Consider the following 25,544-nt stretch of genomic DNA (forward strand, 5'->3'; position numbering starts at 1 on the left):
ATTCGATGGAACTCCTGTCTATTGCGTACAATGAGTGATGCCTGGTTCATAAATTGCTAACAAAAGCCAATGTGATCTTTAACAGTCAGTGTGTTGAAATTTTATTCTTAGAAACACAGAAATAGGCCATATCTACTCACTGTCCATTTCATCTGTGGGACACTTGACGTGAGGGACATAGCTTTGCACTGAAATTTAAATATAAATGAGGACTAGTTTGAAGAATCACCTTCATTTTTCCATTTGCTGATTTGTTCAGACAATATTAATTATTGAGAGCCAACTGTATACCAGGTGTGGCAATAGGTACTGGGAACACAATAGTGAGCCAAACAAGGCATCTCTATCTCTCCTGGGACATAAGGAAAGACTCATTTATCAACTAATCACACAAATAAATATAAAATTACTAAGCCCTCCAACAAGAAAGGCATGGGACTAGGCAAATAAAAGCATTGTTTGGCTTAGTCAGGAAGATCAGAGGTCAAGAACACTTACCTGAGGAAGAGTTGCTTGAACTTGGATGTAAAGGGAGAATAGTACTTAAAACCAGATGGAGGAAGAACATTCGAGCAGCAAGAATACAATGGACAATGGCTCTGCAGGCAGGCATGGTGCACCTAACAAACTGAAGGTATGGCTGGATTGGAGAGAGCTAGGATGACTGGGAGGTAAGATGAGGCAGAAACAGACCATTAGGGACTGGGTCACAGAAGCCATCATTTAGACATGAGAAACTGTGGGCTTTGTCCTAAGAGCAATGGAAGACCACTGAAGAGTTTTACACAAGAGAATGACGTGATGTGATATGATATGATATGATACAATATGATATGATATATGATGTGATCAGGTGGGATTTCTCTGGCTGCAGCATGTTGGTTATGGCAAGAACAGAAGAGTAGGCAAGCTATCAAGAGGCTGAAAGAGACCAGAGATAGAGGTTATTCCATACATTAATTAAATAAGCTTGATACATATGAGGTTAACCAGATCCTGGTTTTTGTCTGACACATCACATACTTTTTCTTAGTGGCACTTATTTACCTTTTCCCTCTCCCTTCCTAATAGCCCTTTCCCTCCATTTATTTAATAGAGAATTTGATTTTGTCACTTGTAAGCCAAAATCACTTAGCCAACCTGTCTGAGAATCTTTATTTGTAAAAGGACTAATTATAATCTCCCAGCTCTCCTCATGGGGTTAGTTATCATGAATATAATCTGAAGTAATAGGTGCGAAAGTGCCTTGTACACTAGAATATATGAGATCAATGTAGGTTGGCATTACTGCAGTGTTTCTAATTATGCACAACGTTCACCTTCTCTGGAAGTTAAGAGAGTATTGATAAGAATATTTTGGTAGAAAAAATTTCAGATACTTTAATTAGGATACTCATCAAATCCCTAGCCAAGGCAATAATTAGTGCAGAAATAGAAGGGCAAAACAGGCAGAGATAAGAGGGAATTGGTTGACTGTGTAGCCACAGCTTCAGGTCTCTGATGCTATGAGAGTGCACTCCAATCCACTCACCATGGTAAAAAGCCATGTGCATCAGCAGCAGCTAGGACTTGTGCTCTCAGGATGTATACATTTATGATTGTGAGGAACTATAGAGACTCTAGGAACTGAGAGATGGTGCCATTGTTCCCCTTCCCCTTGGGGAACACTGTCAAGGGAAAAGCCTCTAGTCTCTCCGGAAAAGCAAACACAGCCAGAAAAACAAACAGCCGCACTTACCCTCCAACTCATTTGTGAAAGTACAATCAGGATTTGATCAAACAAATGTATTTTTATAGGGAAGGGACTGCCTCAGGGATGGAGGGTAGGAAGCATCTTCTGACTGGAGAGAGAAGAACATGGAAATATATAAAACTCATAAAGGGCTTTCCATCCAAATTCTGTGGGAGACCAAGTTACTTCAGGGATCAGAGGCTCTCAGACACATTTTCTGCCCTCTTACCCCTTCCTTACCAAATCTTGACATACTATCTAATGACTTTGTGGGTGGAAAAGCCCTACTTATTTTCCAGAGTGGGGATAGGCAGTCAAGAGTTCATTTACACAAGGGTGTGAGGAGAAAAGCAGGAAGTTTTCAAGAGCATTCTCTTCATCTGTAAGCATTGCTTCCACCACATCGAGAATCAGTCCTCACCTTATATCACTCCAGCAGGTGTCTTCTCTGGTCATTTCAAATGGTATTGGAAAAGTTCCCTCCAAACTGAAGGAGAGTGAATTCTAATGTGTGATAATTCTGTCTAGATAATCGCTATTCCCTCTCAGTCAGGTAGTACTCCCTGGAGAAATTTTGAGGAGGTACTCAATAAATCCAAACCACCCTTATAAGATGTTCCACTTTCAGTATGGGGAGGACTCTAAGAGTCTGAGATGGGAGAACCATGAAAATTTTACTTCCTATCTCTCAAAGAACCTTTGGGATTGTGTGTCTTAGTACTCTCTCTCTCTCTTTCTCTCTCTCTCACTGTGTGTGTGTGTGTGTGTGTGTGTGTGTGTGTGTGTGTGCACGCATGTATGTGGTGCACAGTCACCTTTGTTAAGAGATGGCATTTATGAAGGGGAGCTAAGGAAACTTCCAGAAGTACAAGAAATGGCTGGAGCCAAAAAAAAAAAAAAAAAAAAGGCAAGACTTGCAACAACAACAATAAAAATCCAACCAGTTGTATGACTGGTACCTACATTCCTGAGCTGGTTGTAGAGGAAAAAGAAGACTGGAAAGATTGGGCATAGTCAAATTATAGAGGGGTTGGAAAGCCAGTCAGAAATGGTGGGAGGACTAATTATTCAACCATTGCAGAAACAGAGAGTGTGACTATGTGCTGGACATAGTTCTAGGTGCTTGGGATATATCCAAAAGAGATCAACATTTCTCTTATAAAATTTGTGGTCTAGGTATGACAACCCACTATTATCTGCCATTGGTGCTTAATGTTCATGAACTAATTTAATATTTAAAACAACCCCATGAGATAAGCGCTATTTTTAGACTGCTTTGACAGAATAGGAAATTTGAGGCATAGGGAGGAGAAACATATTGCCCAAGATCACACATTTGGTAAATGTCTAGAGTTGTTTTAACCACTGCCTTCCACTAGTTGAAAGAGCTGAAGGATGGGAATTTCAAGGAGTGTGTTTTGGTCAAGGGGAGTTAGTGAGGGGCAATTGTAAGACTGCAGAGAGCAGTCGTCTTAGTCAACTCAGGCTGCCATGACACAGTACCATAGACTAGATGGCTTAAACAGCAAAGATTAATTTCTCACAGTCCAAAGTCAGGATGCCAGCATGGTTCGGTCTTGGTGAGGGCTGTCTTCCTGGTTTGCAGACAGCTGCCTTCTTGCTGTGTACTCATATGGCCTTTTTCAGGCACTTCTTATAAGGCCACTAATCCTATTGGATTAGGACCCCACCCTATGACCTCATTTAACCTTAGTTACCTTCCAATAGCTCTATCTGCAAATACAGTCACATTAGGGGTTAATTTCAATATATGAATTTTGGAGAGACGCAGTTTAGTCCATAGCACCAAGTGATATTAAGATTTTAAAAATTAGTGATTATCCATGCTTGCTACCTTCACGTATTTTTAAATGTAATCCTATCCAAAGCCTTAGGAGGCAGACAATAATCTATTTTACAGACTGTAGAACATGAAGTTGCAAGAATTTAAAGAAGGTTTTATAGTACTACTACATATGTTTATGACCCCTGAATTAAAACCCCAGGTCCATCTACTCTGTCCTGCACCACACTACCCCACTGCTGTTGCTGCCTCAGCCTTCATGCCTGACTGAGGCCTTTATGACCTTGGAGAAGGGCCCTTTCATCCTGCAGAGGAATTGGCAGAACTTCTTGGGTGCTAGGAAACAACACCTACCTGGGGAATATAGTTGGTAGAAGAGATGTAGAGAAGGAAGATTTTGGTGGAGAATATATCTAAGTCAGTTTAAGAAAGATGATTTTTTAAAGTTTTCTTTTTAAAGACTTTTTCAAAAGAATCTTCAGGGGGAAAAATGGTAGAGAATTTCCTGGGGTAGACTCAGCCATTCGGGGAAATTAAAATGTGTTGTCAACATAGGGAAATCTGAACCTCCTTTCTTCATAGCTACCATTCATAGGCTCACTTTCTTAACATGCCTTCATTCTCTCATTCATTTCTTCATGGTCTGCTGTGAGCATGGCTCTGTGTAGACACAGTGAGTGCTGAGGTGCTGAGGAAAATGTATTTGAAATTGCTGTGACAAACTTCTGGAAAGTGTCATGAAAAAGGAGTCTGTGGTTAAAATTATGAGAATGCATGAGTGAATGGTTCATTAATTTAAGTACACTTTCGTTTTTCCACCCCATTGACTTGGTCTTTTAGATAGAGCTGCACAGAGTTTGAATGCCTAGAAACTTGCCCCTCAGGTGACAAGAGGAAGTGAGCATGAGGGGCGTTCTCTCACTCAGATCTTGTGTACAGCAGCTTGGTGGGAAAGGTAAATCAAAGCCAGAGCTACATTCAACAGCTTATATTTGAACAAGTTAATGTGTTTTCTCTTAAACTCATAATAAGTAACACAGGAACATGGGTTTGATAACAGACATTGAGATATCTATGATTAGTGAGCTAATATTTGTCTGCTGAAACTCTAATGGCTCATCTTTGTGTTCCGACACTCTCAGATCCTACACTTAATTGAGTTCTCTGCACTTGGAGAATCACATACATGACATAATTTAATCTTCATAATGACATACTAAAGTGTGGCTATTTCCATGTTACAAATGAGGAAACTGGTGCTCAGAGAAATGAATGATGAATGGGTTCAGGCTCCAGTAAATGTATGGAGGACTATGCCTACATATGTTCATCATCTTCCCAGGGCTCAGCGAAGTACCCATTACACTACAGATGCTCAGTATTGCCTGTGAATTTACTAAAAGGTAACAGAGCCAGGTCTCAGACTCAGGTTTTTGGCTCTTTTGGCAGCACTTTCTTTAGCATATCAGGATGACTTCTTATTCAGTCATAATAGAGAATTATTTTCCTCTATTGGACACTAATACTGAAGCATTATATACACCTTTTGAAATATCCATTTGGATTTTTCTTTTTAGTAACAGAAGATATATATGTTTACTGCATAAAAATAAGGTGTAAAATGGAACAAGAACAAATACAACAAACGTATTTAAATCATTTGAAATCAGGCCAACCAGAAATTCCTGCCTCTGTTCTGCAACATCCTTTGCTATAATAAAATTTATATTCTGTTTCCCCAAAAAAGGGATGCCCTTCCAATTCACCTTCCTGAGGCTCAATAAATACTCCTTCTTAGAGTCAAAAATAAGACAAGATCTCTCTTTATGATCATCCAACGGGATCCAATAAGGCCATTCTTTGAACTATGAACCATAAATACAGTGCTGGGGATGGCAAGTCTCCCAATTCATACATTTTAATCCAAGTGTTATTAGGTAAAAACAAGCATCAAGTTGAGCCTGTAAACAGAAACAAATTTTTCCATCAACCATATGTTCTTTAGTGGAAAGAACAAGTTTGTGTGATTTGATTCTAACCAGCAGTGTCACCTTTTAGTGCCTCAGTTAACTCACTGTAAAAGTGGAGGTGCTCACACAGATGGTGACTAGGGTTAATTCTAGTCTGAGAATGCTATGTCTCAGTCTAAGACATTAAAAAAAGGAACATGTATAAAAGAGAGAAATTCACTTGTCAGCTTCTTCCATGACTAGTGAGAATTGGAGGGGTGTGGGCTGGGTGTAGCTAGGTATGTAAACAACTCCCATTCTCATTGCTAGTTGCTTTATGAACACAATACCAGTTGCTTTCCAGATGCCAATCATTGCCTCATTGGCTTTGGAGGCTGACGGCATGCACTCCAAAGAAGTCTCCACCAAAATACAAAATCCCAGAGTGCTTCTCTCCTTAAAATCACATCAAGCCCTGCCTTTGACTGATGGAAAAGAGAGTGTTCTGTTTTCCACTAAAGAACCTCAAGGAAACTAGAGGGTGAATTTCTGGTCACTGAAGATGAGAACCGGAGCTGTAATGGTCATTCTATCCCCCAGGTCCTGGCTGGTGACCTACCTGCAAGAACAGGCCATTTGGTTTTCCAAGGTCTCTTTTCTCCTACAAGATAGGACTTAGACATACTGCATTATAATTACTTGACCAAAATATATTCTTGTTCTCTGATTTCATTTGACAGAGTGATAGGTAAGAGATATTGGAGAAGAAGCTGCCCACTCCAGTAAAATCCATTGAGCACAGTAAAATAGTGGTCTACCACTTCCTTTGTTTTGCCATCAACTCTTGTCTCTCCACGGTTTTCTAAAGTCCCTGTGACATTGTGCTTAGCCTAAATGTGTCCCATGCCGCTCTTTCCTAATAGCAATGGATGGATTGTTCTTGAGGGAGTTCTTTGCCAAAGTTACTACCATCACCTTTACTCCACAATAGCCTTAATTTATTAGTTATTCCTTTATAATTATTTTAAAGAGCTCTGGCTTGATTTTTGTGAGAAAGGTGGGTGAAGATTGGCAAATATTGAGGAGAGAGAAAGAGTAACATGATATTATCTTCTGTAGAGAAATGCATTTTGGGTGTCAGGAACTGACAGGGGAAAAACACGCAGACATTCATGGCAAGAGACTTGATGAAAGCTTAGGGGACTAATCCTGACGCTCACTTTATTTTCTTTTTAATGGGATGTCAGTTCTGAAGAATAAACAGTCTTTCCTGAATCCAGAGTTATAAGCACTTATTTGTCTAGATAAAGTACAGAAAAGAAATATTGTGTGCTGCAGCCCATAAGTCATCTTCACGGCCTTTCAGGTAAACTACCAAGGATTTTTACTGTTCAACTCAGTGGAACACAAATTGGTAAACTGAGAGCTAACTGATCATGGCCATTGAAGCAGTCCAAAACTGACACCCAAAATTTCATCTTAATCTGAAATGCCAACATCAATTACCTACAAAAGTGCCACAGCAGGGGATACCCACAGAAAGGGCAATGTGCATCAGAGGCTTCAAGGAAGGCAACATTCCAGGGACTTATTCTCAATCATTCAAAGGGTTTTCCTTTTTTAAAATTTTACCTGCTATTAAAATTGAAAGCAGCAATTAAGGTAACTTTAAGTTCCAGAGTCCAGAAAATCTGAAGAATGATATTCAGAACCAAATGTATATATGGACATGAGTATATATTTTTGAGCTATTTCATCAGAATCATCTGGAAAGCAGAAACACACTTTGGCTAGACTGTTAGATGTTTCTAGACTCTGTTCCCATTAATTTCTTAATGAATTTTTTTTCTGTTTTAGTGACCATTATGTACCGAGCATTGCGTCCAAGGGCTAAGACCATAGAGATGATGCAGACAGTCTCTCCCCACATGAAGCTCAATGTCTAGTGGAAAGATAACATAAATTTAACTATGACACAGTAGACTAATGCCATGTTGTCAACTGGATTACAATCTCCATGTAACTGAATTCTTGATGAGTGTGTCCTCAACCCTGATTGTAGAAATGGGAAAAGGTTCTCGAACTCTGTGTCATCACCCAAATGCTCTACTTTCTCAAGGTTTTCCTCAGCCCTGCATACCCCTGACAATAGTAGAAATAGAGGCCCGTGTTCCATAGTCTAAGTCTTTAAAAATTATAAATCGAGCTAACAGACTGAGAAATAAATCATATTTCATCTCCATAGATTGACAAATAGAACTTAGTCTCCACCTGGAAGGCCAAGTTCGAAAGTTTTAGGAGTTCATGTGATGTCATGGAGTGAGTAGGCCCCAGCTCCTGGCTCCTTCCTTTTAGCCAATCCACCTTCCAGTCCCACTCTGGCTCCATCCTGCATTGTGAAGGGTCTCTGTGTTCACAGAACACTGAAGACTGGTCAGTCCTTCAGAGGATGGACTGGGGAAGAGCCCACACAGGCCCAGGGATCTGGCTCAGAGATGTTTCAGCAGGAAATTCTGTGGCCTTGATACATATAGCGTGCTCTAGAAGGGGTGTGCTGTCTTCAAGTGAGTACAACTCCATGATCCCACCTGCCCATCTCTTCGTGTGCTGCGGTGCAGGCAGTGAAACACAAGAGCAGAGTCCTCTGCTGTGTGGTCTAGGACAGCAGCTTTGCTTGTGCGGGCATGAGAGAGGTACCCACTCTTTCCTTCCTGATCTTGCTTCCCTGAGGAAACTGCTCCCCAGAGCCCTCTCAGAAGGCACTTGTTTTCTATCTTGCACTTCTTGAGGATGGGCTGAGTGTCTTCCTTGCTCCTCATTGCCACTTCTAGAAATTCCCGTCCCTCGGCCATCTTCAAAGCTTAAGCCCTGGGTCTATATTCCCTGATGGTTCTCTTTGTGACTTCCATCTACAAGCCCATAGTCTACTTACCTTTATTTCTTAAGGACTTTTTAGCATCTGCATCACTGCCACTCCCTCCAACACACAATCTATATGAAATTTTTGGTGATGTCAATTTTCACCTCAGTGTTCCCTCTAAGTTCGTTAACCTCTTGTCTTTCAATAATCTTGTCTTTCACCTTACTTCAATCACTCATTCTCATGGTTAAATCCTAGATTTGTTATTTCCAACAACTGCACCCCTTCATAATGTCTATTTCAAGCAGTTCCCTTACTTTTTCCAAGTAATTCTCTCTAAACTCTCATTCCCGCAGTTCTTCAACTACCTCACGACTTCCAATCCATTGATCCCATCACCCTTACTTTTACCCTGTCCTTTACCCATCTCATCTTGTTATTCCCTCCTTACCCAACTTAAATTCCATGGCCAATCCTTAATAATGTCTCTTACTGTCACCCCAATTTCCCTTGTTCAACTCTCCTTTTTTCATGCTCCCTTAGAAATCCCTAGCTCTGGTTAACTCCAATCTTCTTTTTACTTTGTGGCTGAATGCATAAAATTGAAAGTTTTGTGAAACACATTCACACTGCCTGATTTCACTTTCAATTCACAGCTTCTAACTTTATGTAGACCTTTGGTGCTGCCCACCAATTCTTCTACACTTTGCTTATACATTCTTTCTCTCCTACATGACTGCTTCATACCTTTTCTTCATTCTCAAAGCTTCCAGTCTTCTTCCCTGCACACTCTGATGTAACCTGGCTTCCTGTTTTAACTGAGGAGGCAGAAACAACCAGAATAGAGCTTTCACACATTACCCCTCCACATCTACCCGTGTGCTTGCGTTTGAATCCATATTCTTCATATTCTTGCCTGTTACTCTGTTTAAACTGTCTTTGTTTCTTGTTAAGGCAAAAATCCTCCACTCATGAGTGGCATCTTTTCCTCTCCTGCCTATACAAAGACCTCAATCCAACAATTACCGCAAATTCTTCTATTTCAGCCAACCTATTGAATAATTCCCATCAGCAAATAAACATGCCATTTTTCTCATCTTAAAAACTAAAAAGAATTACACTTTCTTGGTTTCTTGCCACAAACTCTCTCCACTGTTACATAGTTTTCCCACTGCCGTTTACTTGGTGCCTTTTTTTTTTTTTTTTTTTTTTTGAGACGGAGTCTCGCTGTCTCCCAGACTGGAGTGCAGTGGCGCAATCTCAGCTCACTGCAAGTTCCGCCTCCCGGGTTCACGCCATTCTCCTGCCTCAGCCTCCCGAGTAGCCACCACACCCGGCTAATTTTTTGTAATTTTAGTAGAGACGGGGTTTCACCGTATTAGCCAGGATGGTCTCGATCTCCTGACCTTGTGATCCGCCCGCCTCGGCCTCCCAAAGTGCTGGGATTACAGGCGTGAGCCACCGCGCCCAGCCTACTTGATGCCTTTTATTCCTGTCCTCCCATTATTTCTTGCACATGCTCCATTCAAACTTTGACATAACTGCTTGACTGATACAGGACCACTTATGACCTCTATGTGGCCAAATCCAATGGTTAATTCTCTACCATATTATTGACCTATCAGGGGCTTTCACAGATTTTCTGCAAAGATGGCCACCAAGAATCCTTCTAATCCATAATACTTACATCACTGTTTCCATCAAAAGGCAAAGCATATTTCTCTGGTGGAGCTTGCAACATGCTTTGACCAATTAAATACATTGGAAGGGATGCTGTGACAATTGCCAACCTAGGAATGTGTTATCTCAGTCGCTCTCTCTCTTCCTCTCTCGCTCTCTCTGTTTGCCCTCTCAATAGATAGATAGATAATCTTTGAAATGCCTGGTCCCTTGCACTTAATACGTTGCAGGGTACGCTCAATAAATAACTACTAATAAATCACAGATGGCAGAATTTTGAGGGGGCCTTGAAGAAAAAATTAGAAATCAGGAGGAAAGAAAATGAGAGGAAAGCAAAGGCAGAGAGGCATTAAAATTCATGAAATGTTTGGGATGCCAAGTGGCTCTTTGCATGTCAAATATTAGGATGGGAAGAAAGCAATGATGAAGGTTGAGGCAGATTGTGAACAGTCATGCATTTTGTGTTATCTATTCAAGTTTAGATGTTATCCTCTATTGACTACAGAGCTTATGTAAGTATAGCTTCCAGATGGAACTTTTTTATTTATTTATTTATTTATTTTTTAATTATACTTTAAGTTTTAGGGTACATGTGCACATTGTGCAGGTTAGTTACATATGTATACATGTGCCATGCTGGTGCGCTGCACCCACTAACTCGTCATCTAGCATTAGGTATATCTCCCAATGCTATCCCTCCCCCATCCCCCCACCCCACCACAGTCCCCAGAGTGTGATATTCCCCTTCCTGTGTCCATGTGATCTCATTGTTCAATTCCCACCTATGAGTGAGAATATGCGGTGTTTGGTTTTTTGTTCTTGCGCTAGTTTACTGAGAATGATGATTTCCAATTTCATCCATGTCCCTACAAAGGACATGAACTCATCATTTTTTATGGCTGCATAGTATTCCATGGTGTATATGTGCCACATTTTCTTAATCCATTCTATCATTGTTGGACATTTGGGTTGGTTCCAAGTCTTTGCTATTGTGAATAATGTTCGAACTTTTAAGTGCAGGTCTTATGTTGTTTCATTGCTCCAGGACCTACAATGGCTCCTCCCTATTTTCCACCCCTTTTAGTCCTTATCTTTCCTTTCTGACTTTCTTTCCACAGTTTATTTACAACTCCCAATTTGTCACCTAGCCAGGAGATACTGTTCACTGGAGCATGTGTTTTTCCCATGCACTCTTTAATGGTGCTGTTCTCCCACTTCTAATATCCTTACTGTTCTCATCCCTTTATAAATTCGATGTACTTTTCAAGATCTTGCATTGCCCCTTGAGGGTTCAAGAATCATTTTGCAATCATTTTAGCCCACAGAATTTTCTCCATTTTCCAAATCCCTCTTTTATTATGGTTAATACAAAAACATGGTGTGACATTTGATTGTTGTCCATATATGTTATATGTGTTTAGTCCTAAAATCCAAGTATAGGATAAACTTCTTGAGGGAAAGATTTATGTCTTATGATACATTTCCACATTCTTTGCAGTTTTAATGTAGCTGGGAGGACAGTGGTTGTGAGCTAGTTACATAGGGCAAACCCAGGGCATCTACTGTCAAAGGTTGGGGTTGGGAAGGGCGGCAGAGGAGGATTCTGCTGGTATCAGTGGTGCCAATGACTTATATACAGGAAAGTAGCTATTTTATTCTAAGATCTGTTCTAAATGTCCCCTTCTAAAAGGGCAGAGTATTGTCTTCCCTTACCTGCAGCATTCCATAGAGTAGCAAATATACAGAAATACAGCTCACAAAATGCAAAGGAGGAAACTAAAATTGTAACACTGGAACAACAGTGAATAAGGTTACTTATAAGGAACAGATGAATAAGGTTACTAGAGTGGGTATTTTTAAAAGCCCAGGTTTCTGTTCTGGTATCATAGATTGTGGAAGTAGAAACACCAGCAGTCAGAGCTGTGGAACAGCCAAAAATCAGTTTAAAATCTGAGCCCAGCACAATTGCTAAGGAAAAGCTGTGAATTCTCTACAATTGATATGAAAAGCCAATGATAAGAGGAAGCTGTGAGCACAGTTCAGCATGGCATGAAACAAAATCAAAGGACACAGAGCAGGCACACAATGTGAAACCTTAATAACAAAAGAAAATTTAAACTAGATTCCCCAGTCTTTTACCGATAAGAGTTGAAAAGCTAATACCAGAATTATACTGTCCATCATAATATTATAATAGATATAATTACAATGGAGATTCTTTTCTTGAGCAAAACACATATTGCTCAAGTTTGAATAATGCTGGTATACTGGAAAACATTTTGCACCGAAGGTCAGGAAACTTGACCTTGGACCTACTCATGCCTATTGCTATCTGCTCATTTATTCTTTCATGTATTCATTCAATCATTCCAACAAAACGTTTAAATGTTGTCGGAATGATTGAATGAATACGTAAGTGAGCTTAAGCAAATGTCTCAGACTTCTGGAATTCAGATTACTCATTTGTAAAATAGGGATAATAATCCTTATACTGACAACCTTATAAGGTCTACAAAGAATCTGATGAGATAGTGTGAAAAGCAATTAAACTACAAATACAACTGACATAAGTTTGTTCAACTTATTTAAATCTGGCCCAAGTAGTGTAGTAATTATCTTGGCACTACATCTGCAGAAAGCATCTTTTGATCTTCTAAGCCACTATTGAAATTATGAACAGTGCTCAATCATCTATTCTATGTGCTTTCAGCACACTCCATATGTGGTTCAATGTTACTTGAAAACTGTCAAATATCGATTGGGATTCATCTGATTCCATTGATCTTTTTACTCATCTAAATAGAAATATCAGATTCAAAATTTATCACATGGAAAAAAATGAAGAAAAAGAAAAAGCTTCTGTTGCTCGTAAACATATCCAGATGGTGGTAGAGAAGGCTGTGGTGGACTGCTTTTTTGTGCAGATACTACCTCTGTCTTCCAGAAAGCCCCGTCTTCTCTATTTGTGTCCAGGTGGATTCAAGTACACCTTTCCCAGGTGCCAACATTCAACATGCTTTATAAGGATGCCTACCAGTTCTTTCCCTTTCTGTAAAAGGGCCTGTTTTTAAGAAAACATTGCTTGGCAGTTGTAAACTCAATGGTTAGAATAGCCAGCATATAAGCACAAGTATATTTCTAGCCCAAAGATGGAAGAAGATAGGTTCTCTTACTTCTTCACTCTTTGGTGGTTTCTCAAAGAATGGGAGAATTCAGATGTTTAACCATCTTTCCTTCTTTGTTTGGCTTAGTTTTTCATCAGTGACCAATCTCCTTCCTGCATGTAAATGGGCTATTTTGGAGGCAGAAAAAAATTCCATAATTATGTGGAATAATTTTTAACCCCATTACAGTAAGTCTTCTACATCCTACCATCAATAGGTTCTTGGAAACTGCAACTTTTAAGTGAAACAATGTATAAGAAAACCAACTTTTTTTCTCATCAATGTTATAACAAAAGGATGTTATTTGAGGACTTGTTGTAGGTCATTTTGCTTAAAGTCACAGTTTCTAACAGTCTGTCAATATCAAGTGAGGACTTACTGTACTGTTTTTAGTGTATACATAAAGTCAAAGAAACATACCTCTCTCAGGACCTGGACAAAGTAATGGCCAGAAATATCATCAAATAAATAAAGGAGTTCTCCCCTGATCCAGTGCTCTCCCCTCACATGTGACATGCTTGTCTGTACTGAGCTTTAGAGTTTATGGAACATTGTCTCTGGAACACTCTCATTCATAATCACAATAACTATGTGAGGTCTGTTATCCCCAGTTTATATGGGATAATTCCAAAGGATGAATTGATTCTCAGGGGCTCAGTCAGTTGTATTGGAATTCAGGTGTTTTGACTCCCAGGACTTTGCTGGTGACTTTCCAAACGATCTCGTATGGCCAGGAAGGTGAACCTAGCACTGGGTGATAGACATATTGCCACCTTGGTGCTCTATGTGAGTCATCTTATCACCAATTGCATTTATGGAAATACATGAAAAATTTCCGAAATTTCACAACTTATTTATTACTGTCCTTATCATGTGGGTACTTTGTCTATCTTGACAGGGTGGACTGCATATCTTGACATATTGTGAAACTTCTTCTAAGTTCTCTTAACCCATCATATGAAAAACCATACCTTCCCAATCCCTGGGCATTTAACAATGTGATGGGGCTGTTCTACAAGGAGTGCACTCTGAGTTCCAGTTGATAGAAATACAGTGTTTGGAATGTAGAAGGGGACGGTGCTAGTCTATGCTGCTTAGATCACACCTCAAACACAACTTTTACTTCAGGACATTGATAAAATAAAATAGTGTCTGTGTTCAGAGGATTGTGTCTCCACCATTAGGAACTAGGGATTTGGGCTTAGGGAGAATATGATTGCTGCCTTCACGTTGGGAAAGGCTGTCAGAGGGAAGACAGATTAGGCTCACTGTTTGCTGCCCTCCAAAGCCAAACTAGGGTCAGTGGGTGGAAGCTACAGGGAGGTGGACTGGGGCTCTGTGGAAAGCAGAGCTTTCCACATTATGAGATCAGTTCATGCTGGAGTGAGCTGCCCCGGGAGGTAGGAAACTCCCAGGTACCAGAGATATGCAAGCAAAGACTGAGCCACGCTTTGGCAGAGCTGTCGCTGCAAGAATTCAAGCACCAGAGGGAGACAGAAGGAAATAATGTCTCAGATCCCTTTTATTCCAGATGTTCTCAAAATGTTCTCCCAAAATTCATGGCAGAACAACCTGCCTAGAGGCGTCTCTTATTTTTAGATCTTTTAAACCAGCTTACTTAAACACCTCCACCAACAAGCAAACAGGAATTTGTTGTTTGGGGATATTTCTTTGGGTTTGTTCTCAATTTTTTTTATTTCCTCCCTTTTAAGAGGAAAAAGTGTATTCCACAGTGGAAATGTAAACATCCTCAAATTGCTTGTAAACTCCTTAAATTTAAGGGAAGTTTTCCATTTTTCTTTTTATAGAAAACAGTATCACCCTGGTGGGGGATATTGGGAAAGATTATGAATGTGTCGGGGTAGAAAGTATATGAGAAATCTCTGTACCTTCCACTCAATTGTACTGCGAACCTAAAACTGCTCTTAAAAAAAAAAGTCTACCAAACAAACAAACATAGTTTGTGCAAAAGGACCTTGACCCTGCCACATTTCTGAGAAGGGGATTGCGATGCTCTTTCATGAGTTTTTCTGATATTTTTTATCAGCAGGCAAGAAATGGTACATCAAACTTCATAACTGAACTGAGTGTAACACAGGAAATGCTTTCGAAGATATGAACAGGGTGTAGGAAAATAAATTGTGCAGAACCCAGGGTCTCATAGTAGTGGATGCAATTACCACCCTATTCCTGAAGAAGTAAAGGAAGGAGCGGTTTTCAAGATCCACTGAGGGTCCTTGTATGGAAAGGAGGACTGTCTGGAGTGGGGTCATTGGTAGAGGAACCCAGCCAGCCCACTATGATATTGCAGGGAAGGAACTGAGGAAAACGTTTCTTCATTTTCCTCCCAGCCTCTGTCACTTACTAGCACCTCCTATGGGCAGAGTCAACTGGAAGCCAGCAGGCAAGGGCACCTATTGGTGCTGTCCACATGCCCTGACACACACAGAGCATGGGATAGGGTGGAGAGTAAATATGGAGAGGCAAGTGGAAAGTATCTAGCACTGTCCTTTCCCATAGCACAAATCCAGGTACCCATTTATTATCTGTTATACCTGTAGCCTGGAATGGACCTCTCTGCAGAGTCTCTGTAATTGACTAAGTCTTGTAGTTGATTCTAAAATAGGATTAAAAGCAGTCATTGTTTTCAAAGAAGTTTTATCTTCTGATTATAGAAACCAAAAAAAAGGTATCAACAATAAGTATTTTCATGGCAATCATATTTGGGTCCATTTGAGAAAGGGTTTTATAACGGAAGATTTTCTGATACTCCTGTTTCCCAAAAAGCTTTACCAGAATTGAATGGCTCCTTCTCCCAAAGAAGCCACAAGCTTCTTATTGTCTCTTTCTCCCACAGCCATGTTGTACTGTCTTTCATGTGAAATCTGTGCTATACTTTCTAATTTTATTATAAATGCTCATATTTGATAAAACATTGCATTGCTTTTAAAATAAAAACATTTCATTTTATTAGATAGGATTGCATGTAAGGAAGACAGTTTCAGTATTGGTGGCAGAGCCTATAACAAGTTGCCAATAGAAAATGCATACTCTGTTTATGGGATGTGAAATACCACAGTGTTGGGGCAATCAATGTGGCTATGCCTGCATATAGGGGGATGGGCTCAATGGGTATCCCAGATTCTGTGTACATATTTCCTCCTCCTCACCCAGAGGAATTATCAGAAAACTAGTGAGTCTGGTATTTAAACATAAATTCTTCTGTAATTTGGTGCTCTTCAGTGGAGGTTTTCAGAGCTCAATTTCAGTTTCATCTCAAAGTGGAATTTCAGAGTTACTTGACAATAACAGGTTTGCTCTTGAAAAATGAAAATGGAAAGTGAAGTCTGGATTCCCCCAGCCCCACCCCCATCCCTTTTACCCTGCTGAGGACTTTCAGCCTCTTCCAGAGTAAAGAACATGCTCAGCGTTGATGGAAACGCGGTGAGCTACCTTGTGGAAACGCTTTAGTGCAGTTAAATGTTTACTGTAGCAGAAATGTCCAAATCACCCAGAGAAATTCATAGCACTAAAAGCATTAAAGCTTGCATACTCTTGTGGATTCATATATTCAGCCTCCTGAAAGATCTAACGTGCATTTGAACTCAAATGCAATATATACAAATAGGCCATGAGGTAGTCTCATATTTTGAACCTGGATTTTCTCGCACTGCATATAGGAGGGTTTTCTTTTTCATTCATCTGGCTAGAGGATCTGGATAAGATAATCAGAAACAGGCAATGCGTGGTGGCTCATGCCTATAATCCCAGCACTTTGGGAGGCCGAGGCAGGCGGATCACCTGAGGTCAGGAGTTTGAGACCAGCCTGGCCAATATGGAGAAACCCTATCTCTACTAAAAATACAAAAATTAGCCAGGCGTGGTGGCGGGTGCCTGTAATCCCAGCTACTTGGGAGGCTGAGGCAGGAGAATCGCTTGAAACCAGGAAATGGAGGTTGCAGTGAGTTGAAATTATGCCACTGCACTCCAGCCTGGGTGACAGAACAAGACTCTGTCCCCCCCACCCCCCCAGAAAGGATAATCAGAAACAAAAGTGTATTGTGATATTCCATAAAAACTATCTAGATAATCTCTTAAAAAGAAATTTCCCTCAAACGATAATCATAAGTCCTTGACTTTGGGGACTAGGTTGGAAGACATTGGTAGAGCTGGGGACTATTTAGATTCTGATGGGGTAAGTAGAGATATTCTGGATTTCTAAAGTATAAAAGCTGTTTGTAGCTAATAAAAATCTAACTAAAAATCAAATCTTCTGTTTAATACTTTGGAATTCAATGTCACTTAAGTTAGTAGAATTCTTTAAAAAAAATGAAGATAAAAGGTGAAACCAATAAAAATATAATTCATTGCCAGGAATTAGATAGACAAGTAGTAGAATATTTATTAATTTATGGTCTTAGTTTAAACAAATGGTTTTTCAGATAGCACTTCTCAATTACTCTATGCTAGTTACATTTTAAGGCTAGAAAAAGATTCAGTTTAGATCATAATATATGAACCTCTTGTGATTTACTTTTTGATAAATATTGCCCAGTGAAATTTTTTTTCAGATGCAACATATTGGCTTTTCCCAGAAAATACTCGAAGCAGATGCCTTTCCTAAGTAAAGCTGAAATATGTACAAATTTATCAAAAGGACATTCTCAGTTCAAATAATGAAAAGCTACCCATTGGTCAAATAATTGAAGGTTGGGCAGAGGGAGAATCCAGAATATATTGCACGTTACACCAGTCCTTGCACAAATATATCTTGGGAGACAGCCTGCTCTGTGCTTTTGCAATAGAGTTGGTCTGGAAAGTGACATAAAACCTTCGCTATATCATGTGCATTTTGTACACTTTACAGTGTTTTGGTAATACAAATATGGAAAGGGTTTGTCAGAGTGTGAAAATGACAAATGATTACATATAAATTTTTTCTTATGTTTCAGGTGGGAATAGAAGGCAGAGGAATTGTGTGCAACGGTCACACTTTTCTTAAATTCTTGTCACCATTTAACCAATAAGATCAGTAATTACCCTGTTTGGTCTCTGTTTGTCCAAAGCTGTCCCTCAGTGGAAGAAAAAATAAAAACCATAATATAGGTAGCAATTTGTAAGGAACAGGAAGCAGTTTCTGTGTTTAGGCCAATGGTAAAATGCAGCTCCTTTCAGAATCTTACAGAAGTACACAGGGCAGGGACTGGATAATCGCTGGACATTCTTAGTTCCCAGGGTCATATTTCTCACACGGACGGCCGTGGGCAAAACGCAAAAACCTCATTATATGTCAAGACGTCCACTGCTTTAAAATTCCTCAGTAGTACTCCATCATTTGAATATGATGTCCTTATCATTCTGAGTGGCATGCAAGACACTTCATAGCCTGGCCCTTGCTCTGTCTCTCCAGGCTCATATCCTGACACCCACATGTCCGCCAATCACCATAGGTGTATCACCATCAATTACTGTAGCTCCTAAGTGAACTATGTCCCCAAGTCTTCCTTCCTTTCTTTAACTCATTCATTACATATTTCCTGGGTACCTGCTACATGCCAGATAAGACCAAATGATGAGCAAGTCAACATGATCCAAAGGCTTGTGCAATTTATGGCCTGGTGGGGCTAACAAAGAAAAATAACAACCCCCATCTCTGCCAAAACAAAAAATAAACATGAATAAAATAATTACAAATTGTGACAGCTGCTTGGACGGAAAAAACTTGAGTGTTTACATAGAGACTATCAGGGAGGAGAGGAAGGTGGTGACATTCAGGGGGTACCAGGTGAAAATCCATGGCAAAGACTTCCAGACAGAGGAAACAGCATGTGCAAGTCCTAATGTGAAAAGGGCTTTTTCAGGCTCACGGAATTGAATAAAGGCTAATGCAGCTGGAGTGTGGTAGTTGTGGGGGACACAGTACCAGGTGAGGATGAAGCGAGAGCCAGGCATCAGATCATGCAGGGCCTTGTAGCTCATAGCAAGGGGCTTTATTCCAAGTGCAATAGAAGTCATGGGTTGGATTTGAGCAAAGGGGTAATGTGATTTAATTTACATTTTTAAACAGTTGCTCTGGCTGCTGTATGATAAGTGAATCAACAGAAAATAGGGGGAGCCTTTATTTAGAAGGCTATTCTGGAAGACAAGAAAAGGGATGATAGTGGATGGATTCATGAGATATATGGAAGTGGAATTAACAATGCAATTGAGGTTTTGTCTTTCTGACTAATTCCTACTTCCTTGAAGGCTCAGTCCAAGCATCACCTCCCCTACAAAGCTATTTTGAAGGCCCCCCAGTCCTCAAAGGGTTGGAGGCTCTCTTCTGTTTTCCAGGCAGCCTGTACCAGGCCTCCACACGTGACACACCATAATATTGACTTGCTTGTCTGCCTTCTATAAGACTGTGAACTTTGTTAGCACAGAGGCTATGTCTTGTCCTTGTCTGCATCTCCAGCCTGAGCACAGAGCCGGTGCATAAGAGGAGCTCAATGGCTGGCAGGCGCATGGGTGAATTGTGCCCTCTGGCCTGCTGGAGAGCTCTTCACATGACACGAACCCCTGAGTGGGAGCCAGACCCAGGCTTTGGGATTGATTCTGATATTGAAAGACCTGTGGAAGAGCTACTGCATACCAAGGACACCTATGTCCGTGAAAAGTGACCAAGAAATCTCAGACAGGAAGGCAAATTGATTTTTCCAAGCCATTTCAGAGGAAGGAGTTCTTGACTGAGGTGGACTCTCTTGCAAGTACTTCGAGTTCCATTTCTAACTCTGCTGCGACAATTACATTTCAGAAACACTTGCTTGGAACGTATAGCTCAGCAGACACTGTCATTTTTGACAAGGGTTTGCATTTATCAGTTGTGTTTCTGGGAGCTGTTGGACAGAAATCATAACCAAGCTGTCACTACAGCCTCCCATTACCTTCAAACAGATTCCTTTTAATTCACCTCCATGTAGATTTAAGCGTCTAACAAGCATCAGGTGCCTGGCTGTTGGAGTAGGGATGAATGTCAGGATATTTATAAAGGGTCTCTGTTCCTGAGAACCCACAGTTCTCTAAACAACTAAATAAGCACTTGTAATTGAGGATAGATATATGTATATGTATTTATACATGTATAGTCATGCACCAGTCAACAAACGACCATATATACGATGGTGGCCCCATAAGATTATAACGGAGCTGAAAAATCCCCATTACCTAATGATGTTGTAGTTGTCATAACATCCTAGTGCAACATATTACATTTTACGTATTTAGGTACACAGATACTTACCACTGTGTTACAACTGCCTACAGTATTCAGTACAGTGACATGCTGTACAGGTTTGTAGCCTGGAGCAATAGTACACCATTATAGCGTAGGTGTTTTGTGGGCTATACTACCTAGGTTTGTTGATGTTTGCACAGTGACAAAATTGTCTAACACTACATTTCTCAGAATGCATCCTTGTTGTTAAGCAATGTGTGACTGTATATGTGTGTGTGTATATATATGTGTGTGTTTGTGTATAACACTATGTATGTATACACACACACACACACACACACACACACCTGGTGGGAGAAAAAAATAATGGGATAATTTATTCATTCTTCTGGGAGAAAGAAAAAAGTGTGTATTTGGTCAGGGAGAAGCTTAACTTGACTTGGGTTAGTAGGAGTTTGTTATCAGTCTCTCTCTGTTAACTTCCCAGAGGCAGGAAAGCCCAAGGTTTAAGGTCTTTAGCACCAGAGCTAGATAGCCTGGGTTCAAATCTTCTAGTTATTTAACTACTCTTCACCTCAGTTTACTCAACTGTAAAATGGGATAATAATAAAGCATATCACAGAGTGTTGCAGTGAGAATTAAATACGTTAGTACCTATGCGCATGGAAAGGTCATTCCAGAGGGAATAGTATGCACAGAGGTGATGGATGTCCCTGGAATGTCAAAGAAGAGCAAACCTCTGGTGTGAACAAAATACAGGGTGTGTTTGCGTAGGAAGATTAGAGGGGTGATTGGAAACACAGTTTGTGGCCCAGGTCCTGAAGGGTTTTGTAAGTCATACTAAGAAATTGGATTCTAGGCCATAGGCAATGAGAACTATCAATGATTTCAAACGAGGGAATGGTATGATCATGTCTATGTTTTAGAACAATCCTTCTAGAATAAATAGAAAGTTTGGACCAGAGGAAGAAAGAAATGAGAGGCAGAGTCCAACCAGATGGTTACAGCAATAATCCACGTCAAATGATTTAAAATCTGGAATAGGATGGTAGTAATTGGGAAGGCTAAGCTGCTAAATTTAAGGTTTTCCAAACATTTTGATTATGAGACTCTTCCTTCCTTATATAATTTCCAAAAATTCTTCAGGACTCAGTTTGGGAAATGCTGGCTCAAAATTTACTCATTTTGTGGATGTTTTGTTTCCTTACATCCTTCTGCATCTTAGATTATTCCTGTAACCTAGCAGGAATCGTGATCACAAATGAAGGAACTTGTAAATTATCTGATGATGGACAGTTTGACAGATCAATAAGTGAGCCAGTCTTCCATAGAAACCAAGCTTATTCTGAAATCTCTGGATTTTCATATCAGCCAGCCTTCTGCCATAATGCTCTCTTCTCTTGGCTGCTCAAGAAATTTTGTGGGGAGAGTAGTGTGATAAAAGTTGTATTTGAAGAATATTAATCTGTTGTCACTCATTTTAGATTGGAGGGAGAAAAACATAGTGCTCTGGAGGCTTAGCATTTCTTTTCATTGCATTTTATGCAGTTCTTTCTGAAGACAAAAAGAATAATAAATCCTTAGACTGTGCCAGGCATAAATCTAAGTGCTACACACACACACACACACACACACACACACACACACACAATTTAATCTTTACAATAACCTTATAAAGCAGACACTGTTGTTAGCCCTATTTTGTAGATGAGCAAACTGAGCTACAGAAAAAGCCAAAGTCACATAGCTAACAAAGAGTAAAACCAGGAGAGTAAATAGCAGTAGCTGGGTTTAATAAATGTGGAATGAATGTGTGGGTGAAAGCGTTGAGGAGTTAACAGAATGAATTCTGATAAGAGACTGTGATAAGAGTTAGAAAAGTGAGAAGAAATTACACATTTAGGTTAAGGACAACATCAGGAGTCAAAATGGGAAAGGAGTCCTCTCGTTAACCTGGACAGTATTCCAAAGAAATTACTCTTCAAATGAGAGAGTTTGAAGTAGAGGTAGTAAAGCAAGTGAAATTTACTCAAAATTACAGAAAATATGGCACATTCGGAAAGTTAACACATTTCTCTGCTGTTAAGATCAAGCCCCTGTATTATTATCTGCTCTTATAAGTGGCGTTTGAAACAGATGCCATTTCAACTGCAAGGAGTTTACTGAGTGAGGCCCAAGAAATGTTTTCAATTTGCTGGATGTTGTGACTTTGAGAATAGGAATGGCATCTGTATATGTAGAAAGGGTGCAGAATGTGTGGTGCCAAAGCCTCAGTGACACAGTTCTAAACAAGACATCAGCCCGTATCTGAGTCTATCGGTACGCTCTTACCTAGCTTCTAGGTACCTAGCCCTCTGTGTTAGGTGCTAATGCCTAAATACCATTAATCAAAAATAGTACTAGAGCATATGCTAGTGCTAAGTATTAGGAACCCAAAATGAATAAAATATAATCTCTAATCTCAAAGATCTTCTAATCAAGTTGGAGGAAACTAACACAAACTTAACTTATACCCAGTATAGGATGATGATAATATGTGAATTGTATGATAAAAACCAACATAAATTTGTTTTACAAATGTACAAAATAAGATTGAGTAAGAATGACTCAATAGGGATTTAGGACCGGGGGAGGAATTTTAGGTGGCTGTAGATAGATAGGTAAACAGTAGATGATGAGGAGACAAGCATTTCAAAAAGGAGGGGAAGCAACAGTACCAAATGCTGATAAAAAATCTGGGACACCGTGAAACAAACAAACAAAAGAGACTTTGAGTTTCCCCACTTAAAAAAGATTGTACTGACCTGGATTTATGAAACTAATTACCCACAGCATATAATGATAATTACAAATGTATTTCTTCTGAAAGCAGAGTCTACTCTTCGCTCTTCATGATTTAACTCCCCTAGTCTTACTACTTTGGGATTCTTTGGTCTTCTGAGTTTTAGAAACCTCTTAGGCTTCCGGTTCTTTTATTCCCAAGGTTGGCATCAAGAAGCATTCTCAGTCATTTGTTCAGACAACATAGAGACTCTGCCTCCTTACTAGCTTAGAATTCTGGCCCTCTCTGACCTGTCTTTGACCTCAAATAAGGTGCCAGTGTCTATCCAATTAGGTTCATCCCTGTGCTAAAGAGGTAGGCCCGGGCCAGCATCGTCTTTGCGCTGTATTTTTATCTGAGTACATAGCTCATGTATCGCAGCAGGCAAGCTGGTGCTGACATACAGCACACCCTGATTGCCATCAGTCTGCTCCCAGAACCATCTACCCAACCATCACAAGATATCACTTTGGGGCTGACATCTTTGGGGCCAAGTCCCAGCCAGGAGATGTATGTCACCCAGGGATGACAGTCTGATCAAAATGCATGATGGATAGGGCATAACCATCATCCCATCACTCATGAGCAAGGAGGCAAAAATTGTCAAGGTAGTAGTGTCAAGTGTGGGGAAGGTAATTTCTGACAGGTGATTAATGCCAAGGAGCCAGCAATCATCCAGGTACTGCCAAGAGAAATGGGCAGTTATATATATATATTTTTCTATGACAGTGCCTCTCTTCCCCCACTCTTGACCTCTGGTTTTACAATATGTTACATAAAATCTTCACAGATGACTTTTTCTTCACCAAATTCTAAATATTTTTGCCCGCAAATTCTAAAGCCTATATTACATACACTCTGTACACACACATTCACACAAAATGTAATTCTAACGAGATCCCATAGTCCCATCATCTTTTGCAAAACAACCGAAATAATCCCCAGTTAATGTTACTCTGATAGGTCAGTCTGTCTGGAGCCAAATCTGGGCTATAATGATGACCTAGAGCAAATGATTGTATCTCTGTGTTTAAGCTTCCTCGTCTGTGAAATGAGATTGTTTTGAGGATTAAAGGAGGATCTCACCTTTGTGGTTTACAGTCAATGCTTAACAAGTGTTTGTTAGGTAATATTATTATTGTACTTCTGCTATGCTTGTTACATATGAGGGAAAATTTTCAAAACTGCAAAGATTTTGTGTAACAAAGGACAGTGGGAGGAGGCAGATATGATGAGCTAGAGCAAAGGATACTTGGACACTTGAATGGGCCTGGGTCCTTTGCGTTGGAACAGGGAGCAAAATAATAGCAGGAAGCAGGGAGCCAAAGCCACCCTTAAAACTGCTGGAAGCTGGTCCTCCTTTTTACGCAGGCCCATGTAGAGACCCCATTAGCTTATTCAGTTCATGGAGGACTTAGCAGAGGCAACAGAAATCCTGAAGGATGATCACAGGACTCGTTTGTGTGGCCCACAGTCATGTGTAGACTCCCAGTGAAAACATGTGTGGATATTCTGAGCATGCAGCACCCGGCAGGCAGCAGTGTGTCTCAGAATTCTGGCCTTCTCTGACCTGTCTTGGCTTTAGGCAAGAGATAGAAGTCACATTGGTTATTTCAACAGAGAGAATTGAATACAAAGAATCGTTAACTTTGCTTTGAAGAATTAAAAAGGCAAGAAAGAAATCCAAGGTACTACAGAAGTAGCAACCAAGTCCCTGTGGACTTGGGAACAAGGGGAAGCAGAGGTTACAATTATTCAAACTTAGGCCTCTGGGGTGGAGCACCCCTCAGCTGGTGCTGAGATTTTTGACTAGGTGTGATGTGGCTGCTTTTCAAATGTTGGAAAAATTGATGGCAAATGGGATTCAGCTGCTGCTTCTAGACGAACACTTACTGGGGTGAAGAAATGAGGCTGGGGTGCTGCTGACAAGAGACAGTAAGGAGCAAGTCCCTTCTCCATCCCAGAGCCTCACAGACTCTGTCTGGTGCATCTTATTGGATGCATTTTACAGGGGCCTGTGGCCAAGCAGTAACAAAGTTTACATGGTCTCAGCTCCTGGCTCATACAAAGCAGGATATAGAAGGCTGGGTGTGGAACTGAGAGGAAGCAGCTGAATCGAATCTACTCCTTCACCTCCCCAATAAACGCTGACTACCTACTGTGTGTCAAACATTGAAGGCTAAGAAGCACTACTTTGTCCTCTAGGGACTCAGGGAAGGAGAAGGAGAGTAAAGGAAACAGAAAGTGTGACTTGGACTGTGACTGAGAAATATAGAACCTAAAGTAGAGCACCTCATTCAGCCCGAGGAGGAAGGATGGAT

The 25,544-nt window shown here is 40.3% G+C and overlaps 1 long non-coding RNA gene across 3 annotated transcripts in view; it reads left to right on the forward strand.

Moving 5' to 3' along the window:
• LOC105370826 (uncharacterized) overlaps window positions 1–25,544 on the forward strand; it is a 107,205-nt gene that overhangs the window by 12,673 nt on the left and 68,988 nt on the right. The window contains exon 1 of one of the 3 annotated variants that reach the window (XR_007064644.1): window positions 443–634. The exons of the other annotated variants lie outside the window; for them this stretch is intronic. This is a non-coding gene — a long non-coding RNA (uncharacterized LOC105370826). Of the gene's footprint in view, window positions 1–442; window positions 635–25,544 lie in introns of those variants that run through there. 3 annotated transcript variants of the gene reach the window in all.

The sequence above is a fragment of the Homo sapiens genome, chromosome 15, assembly GCF_000001405.40.
Source record: "Homo sapiens chromosome 15, GRCh38.p14 Primary Assembly".
NCBI lineage: Eukaryota > Metazoa > Chordata > Mammalia > Primates > Hominidae > Homo > Homo sapiens.